Source organism: Homo sapiens, chromosome 15 (genome assembly GCF_000001405.40).
Source record: "Homo sapiens chromosome 15, GRCh38.p14 Primary Assembly".
Lineage (NCBI taxonomy): Eukaryota > Metazoa > Chordata > Mammalia > Primates > Hominidae > Homo > Homo sapiens.
In genome coordinates this window covers 93,829,144-93,830,191 of record NC_000015.10, presented here as the reverse complement: position 1 = coordinate 93,830,191, position 1,048 = coordinate 93,829,144, and the positions used below count along the sequence as shown (strand labels likewise).

At 49.0% G+C, this 1,048-nt stretch overlaps 1 annotated feature.

Moving 5' to 3' along the window:
- Positions 233–768: an enhancer, noted in NCBI's record as "NANOG hESC enhancer chr15:94372653-94373188 (GRCh37/hg19 assembly coordinates)". NCBI's record gives its function as "activates a minimal SCP1, AML or CMV promoter by ChIP-STARR-seq in naive H9 embryonic stem cells {active_cell/tissue: H9 hESC(naive)}" and the evidence as "EXISTENCE:reporter gene assay evidence [ECO:0000049][PMID:30033119]".

Genomic DNA, 1,048 nt, shown 5'->3' with positions numbered 1-1,048 from the left:
GGGGAAAGAGAGAAAGAGAGCAGGGAAGGGGTAAGAGAGAGAGGAGAGAGGGGGTGAGAAAGAGAGGAGACAGAAAGAGAGGGAGAGAGGAGAGAGAGAAGAGAGAGGAGAGAAAGGAGTAGGGAGAGAGGAAAGGGAGAAGAGGGGGAGAAAGGAGAGAGAGAGGGGCGTGTGTGTGTGTGTGTGTGTGTGTGTGTGTGTGTGTGTGTGTGTGTGTGTGTGTGTGAAGGTTCTTAATCCCCTTAGGCTTTTCCTGAGTCACTCAGTCCTCTGTTCCTCTAATTATGCTCATCTGATTCTGTTTAGCCTTAGGGATGGCACCTCCTTCCCCTTGGACCTGTAGCCCTAGTTTAGTAACAGCTTTTTTCTGTTGATAGCCCTGGGGTGCCTCATTATCCCTTGTTGACTGGCTGATAGCTGGGCTATCCAGGCATCTCGAGTTAGGCCTCACTGATAGAGCTTGTTGTGCTCTTGCCTAACTTGGTTTTCTCCCCACACTGGGTGAGATCATCTGCCAATAAGATAAGACTGGGGAGTGTAAAACTGTGACTCATTCATTGACAGTCTACAGTCAAACCCTGTGCTAGCACTTTATTCCTGCCTACGCCTCTGCAAAAAGTTGCTTCACTGGACACTCTCTAGTCATGCTTTTGAATGCACCATCAGTTTCCTGCTGAGACCGTGATTGACATATGCACCATGCTTCCCCCTCCCTCCTACACACACCCAGCATGTTCCCATGATCCTTGAAGATTCTCAGGTGAGTCACATTGTTCACAATGTCCTTGTCATTCGTGCTGTTGTAGGGTAAACATACCTGATAGCAATAACGCCAGCATAACCTTAGGATGACCCCGATGGCAGATGCACCTGAATGTGTGTTCTGAGCTAGGGGATGTGGGAGTGGCCAACCCAGAGCTTCATTTCTTGTCTATGAGTAACATTAAGCTCCAGGCCCAACCAATGGAACACGGGCTATACAACGCATTAAGGCCCTGAGTTTTGGATTAAATGAATGTTGCCCGGTGGAGGTCGTTAAGGGGAGGAT